This window comes from Homo sapiens, chromosome 18 (assembly GCF_000001405.40).
Source record: "Homo sapiens chromosome 18, GRCh38.p14 Primary Assembly".
In the NCBI taxonomy this organism is placed as follows: Eukaryota; Metazoa; Chordata; class Mammalia; order Primates; family Hominidae; genus Homo; species Homo sapiens.
The window spans coordinates 65417803-65423810 of record NC_000018.10 but is presented as its reverse complement, the minus strand read 5'-3'; positions in this window follow the sequence as shown (position 1 = coordinate 65423810).

The following is a 6008-nucleotide window of genomic DNA, read 5'->3' as shown; positions in this document are numbered from 1 at the left end:
CTCACATCAGTCAAAATTTTTACTATTAAAACGTCTAAAAATAACGGATGTTGGTGAGATTGTGGAGAAAAGCTCACAATTACACACTGTTGGCAGGAACACAAATTAGTTCGACTCCCACGGAAAGCAGTTTGGAGATTTGGAGCAGTTTCTCAAAGAATTAAAAATAGAATTACCAGTTGACCCAGCAATTTCATTACTGAGTGTATATCCAAAGGAAAAAATCCTTCCACCAAAAACACACATGCACTTGTATGTTTATCATAGCACTATTCACAATAGCAAAGACTGGAATCAAACTAGATGCCCATGAATGGTGGATTGGATAAGAAAATGTGTTACCTGTACAGCATGGAAGTCTCTGCAGCCTTTAAAAAGAATGAAAAGAATAAAATCATGTCTTCTGTGATAATATAGATGCAGCTGGAGGCCACTATCTTAAGTGAACGAATGAAGAAACAGACAACCAGATATCGCATATTCTCACTTCTATGTGAGAACTAAACACTGGGTTCATATAGACACAAACATGGAAACAATAGACACTGGGAATTCCAAAAGTAGGGAAGGAAGGAGGGAGACAAAGGTTGAAAAGTTACCCATTAGTTACTAGGTTCACCAGATGGATGACTGGGTCATTAGGAGTCCAAACCTCAGCATCAGGCAATATATCCATGTAACAAACCTGAAAATGTATTCCAAGAATCTAAGGTAATTTTTTAAATAAAAAAAGTATTAATGCAACAAAACCTATTAAGTCTCTGTAAAAATGGGAAATGTCTCTTTGTAGCACTTGAGTCATGACTCACTCCTTTCCTACAACCCCACTTCAGCTTGATCTTAGCTCCACTCTAGAGAAGTGTGTATAAAAATGCAGGACTCACTTGCCATTTAGCTCCCAAAGAAGACGGTATCTTATCATGAGAGTCTAAACATCAGTACTTCTCATTCCCTCCAACTCTGAGTTGCAGATGCCAAATTCCTGATGAATGTAGCCAAATAAGTCAAAAATCTCGTGCATCACCCTGGAAACAGTAAAAGGGCATAGGCTCTGCACCAGGCAGGCAGGCCACAATTTTCTTGGCCACAGCTGGCCCATAGTGTAGTGGTTCCATGTGGGAAAAATGAAGCCAAGAATTACAAAGCTTACCACCCTTTCTCAGCACTCAGATTACTGGCTCAGGGATTTTCAACAGGGAAAGAGGCAGTCAGTCATAAGAACAGAAAACTCTGAAGATATCCTCAAAAGATCTGTCTTTATTTGATACAAAATGAGAAGTTCAAGGCCAAAAATTATCTAATGGAGAAATTTGGTGACAAGCAAATTAGAAAAGACTGGTAGTTCTTCGTAGTTAAAAGCAACAAGTTATTACATTTTGAGTCTATTGAAACACTAATGATATTTGAATGTTGATTATTTTATCTTGCATTTTTATGAAATGTGTTTGATATATTGAGGTTCTAATTTCATTTTTCTCAACATATTTTTATTTCCCTTTCGATTTCTTCATTGACCAATTGGTTATTCAGCAGTGTGTTATGTAATTTTCAAATATTTTTTAATTTTCCAATTTTTCTCCTGTTATTGATATTTAGATTCATATTACTGTGATCAGAAAAGTTACTTAAAGTGGTTTCATTTTTTTTTAATTTGATAAAACTTGTTTTGTGGCCTAACATATGATCTATCCTAAAGAATATCCTGTGTGCTTGAAAAAAAATGTGCATTCTCCTGTTGGGTAGGATGTACTGTATATGTCTGTGAGGTCCATTTGACCTATAGCACTGTTAAAGATTGATGTTTCCTTAATGATTTTTCTGTCTGGATCACCTATCCATTGTGGAATGGTGGGAGGGGGGGAGGAATTGATGCCCCTACTAGATCATATTTTTGCCCATCTCTCCTTTTAGTTCTGTTAATATTTGCGTTATAGACGTAGGTGCTCTGACGTTGCATGTATATAACCTTACAATTGCTATATTATCTCCTTGAATTCAATACTTTTTCATTATGTTATGACCTACTTTGTTTATTTTTATAGTTTTTCACTTAAAGTCTATTTTGTGTGAGGCAAGAATAGCCACACCCGCTCACTTTTGTTTACCATTTGCATGTCTTTTTCCACCCCTTCGTTTTTTTAGCCTACGTGTGTCTTTAAAGTTGAAGTGAATCTCTTCTAGGTAGCATATAGTAGGCTCTTTGTTTTTTTTAATCCATTCAGCCAGTCTATGTCTTCTGATTGCATAATTATATCCATTTATATTAATAGGTAAGGACTTATTTATGCCATTTGTTATTTTCTGACTCTTTTGTAGTTCCTTTGTTTAATCTCTTGCTGTCTTCCTTTGTGATTAGATGATGTTTTGTATTGTTATCTTTTGATTTCTTCTTCTTTATCTTTAATGTATCTATTGTCTTTCTTGGCTATCGTAAGGCTTATATAAAATATATTATAGTTATAACAATCTATTTCAAGATAACGACTTAATTTTGACCAATACAAAAAATTTGCACTTTAACTTCTCCTTTCCCCACATCTTACGTTAGTGAAATCACAATTTATATCATTTATATATTGCATATCCATTAACAAATTACTGTTGCTATAGTTATTTTAACACTTTGTCTTTTAACTTTTGCACTACAATTAAAAGTAGTTATGCAACACCATTATAGTGTTAGATTACTCTTAATTACTTTCTTACATTTATGATGAATTTTCTACTCTCATGTGTATTCATGTTTATGTTTAGTGTCTTTTCATTTTCACTTGAAGAACTTCCTCTAGCATTTCTTGCAAGGCAGGTCTAGTGCTGATGAACTCTCACAGCTGTTTCTTTAGCAAAGTCTATTTGTCTTTCATTTCTAAAGGACAGTTTTGCTGGGTATAGTGTTGGTGATTGCAGCGTTTTTCTTTTCTTTTTTTTTCTTTTTTTTTTTAAGAGTTTGAGTACATTATCCCATTCTCTGCTGGCTTGTAAGGTTTCTGCTGAGAAATATGTGATAGCTTCTGCATATTCCCTTATACGTAATGAGTTGCTTTTCTCTTTATTTCCCTCTTCAGGACACCTGAAGAGGGTACCTGAATAAGTAAATTTCTATTATTTATTTAAATAAACTTTCTGCCCCTTTAAATTTCTCTGCTCCCTGTGGGACAATCATCATGCATATATTAACTTGCTTGAGAGTGTTCCTAAAATCCCTCAAGAATCTCATTTACAATAGTATCAAAAAGAACAATACAAATAAATTTAACCAAAGAAGTGAAAGTTTTGCACATTGAAAATTATAAAAAAATGAAACAAATTGAAGAAGATACAAATACATGAAAACTATTCAAAGCTTTATATTGATTCATTGCATTCCCTATAAAAATTTAATGGCATTTTTCATGAAAATAGAAAAAAAAACTAAAATTCATATGGAACCACAAAAAAACACTAATAGTGAAAAAATGGAGAAAAAAGAACAATGCAGAAGTTATTACAATCTCTCATTCCAAATTATACTGCAAAGCTATAGTAATCACAACAACGTGGTACTGTCATTTAAAAAAAGACACATAGGCCAATGTAATAGAATAGGATGCCTAGAAATCTCACATTTGCCGCAATAAACATACGTGTGCATGTGTCTTTATAGCCGCATGATTTATAGTCCTTTGGGTATATACCCAGTAATGGGATGGCTGGGTCAAATGGTATTTCTAGTTCTAGATCCCTGAGGAATCGCCACACTGACTTCCACAATGGTCGAACTAGTTTACAGTCCCACCAACAGTGTAAAAGTGTTCCTATTTTTCCACATCCTCTCCAGCACCTGTTGTTTCCTGACTTTTTAATGATTGCCATTCTAACTGGTGTGAGATGGTATCTCATTGTGGTTTTGATTTGCATTTCTCTGATGGCCAGTGATGGTGAGCATTTTTTCATGTGTTTTTTGGCTGCATAAATGTCTTCTTTTGAGAAGTGTCTGTTCACAATAGCAAAGACTTGGAACTAACCCAAATGTCCAACAGTGATAGACTGGATTAAGAAAATGTGGCACTTATATACCATGGAATACTATGCAGCCATAAAAAATGATGAGTTCATGTCCTTTGTAGGGACAGGGATGAAATTGGAAATCATCATTCTCAGTAAACTATCGTAAGGACAAAAAACCAAACACCACATGTTCTCACTCATAGGTGGGAATTGAACAATGAGAACACATGGACACAGGAAGGGGAACATCACACTCTGGGGACTGTTGTGGGGTGGGAGGAGGGGGGAGGGATAGCATTAGGAGATATACCTAATGTTAAATGACGAGTTAATTGGTGCAGCACAGCAACATGGCACATGTATACCTATGTAACTTACCTGCACATTGTGCACATGTACCCTAAAACTTAAAGTATATTAATAATAAAATAAAATAAAAAATTAAAAAAAGAAATCTCACATTTGCAGTAAACTGACCTTAAAACAAATAACCAAGGACTCCCATAAGGAAAGAACTGTCTTATCATTAAATGATGCTTGAAAACCTGGATATCCACATGCAGAAGAGTGAAATTGAACCCTTATGTCATATTATATGTAAAAAAAAATTAAAAATAGATTAAATACTTAAACATAAGACCTGAAACTGTAGAACACCTGGAAGAAAACATAAGGAAAAACCTTCTCAACATTGGGCTGGAAAATTGCTTTGTGAATATGACCCCAAAACACACATAACAAAAGCCAAAATAGGAAAATGGAATTGCATAAAGTTAAAAAGCTTCTAAAACAATCAAGAGAATTAAGAGACAACTTGCAGAATTAGAGAAAATGTTTACAAGTAATACATCTGATAAGTGGTTAATATCTGATATGTATAAAGAACCCAACTGCTCAATAAAAAGAAAGCAAATAACAAGATTTTTTAAAAAGGTAAAAGGATATAAAAAAAACAGTTCCAAAAAAAGACATACAAATCACTAACAGAAACATGAAAAGGTGGTCAACATCAGTAAACATCCAAGAAATGCAAATCAAAGCAGTAATGAGATATCACCTCACACATCTCACACATGTTAGAATAGCTATTGTCAGAAAGACAAAAGGTAACAAGAGTTGGCAAGGGAACCCTTGTACACTGGTAATGGGAATGTAAATTGGTACAGCCTTATGGAGATAGTAGAAAGTTTCCTCAAAAATTAAAAATAGAGCTTTCATTATTATTCAGCAATCCCATTTCTGGGAATATATTCAAAGGTAATGAAATCAGTATGTTAAAGAGATTAAGACACTGCCATGTTTATTGCAGCATTATTCAAAATAGCCATGATATGGAAAAAAACCAAGGAATGAGTGAATGAAGAAAATGTATGTCTGTATATGGAAATAAATATTATTTATCCTTTAAGAAGAAATAATTTCTTACATTTGTCACAACATTGATGAACCTGGAAGACATTATGCTAAATAATATAAGCCAGATATAAAAAAAGAAATAATGCATGATCTCACTTATATATGGAATCTAACAATGTCAAACTCATGGAAGCAGGCAGTTGAATGGTGGTTCCCAGTGTCTGTTGTGGTGGGAGAGGGGAAGTAATGCAAAAATGTTGCCCAAAAGGTATAAAATTTCAGTTAGGATAAATAAAATCTAGAAATTTATTGTATAACATGGTCACTATAGTTAAAAATTATATAATGTATACCTGAAATTGCTGAGAGTAAATCTTAAATGTTCTCACTGAACACACACACTCACACACAGAATAACTATGTGAAGTGATGGATATATTAATTTCTTTGATTATGGTAACCATTTCACTATGGATACATATATCAAAGCAACACATTGTATACCATGAGTATATACAATTTTTACTTGTCAATATTCTCAATAAAGCTAGAAAAAATGCAACAAGCTAAACACTAGGTCAGCTAGTTTATGAGGGATAACTTTCTTCTATTGGCTGATTTAAAAGCAATAATATGAAATAATGTATATATAGTATTGTTTTGGG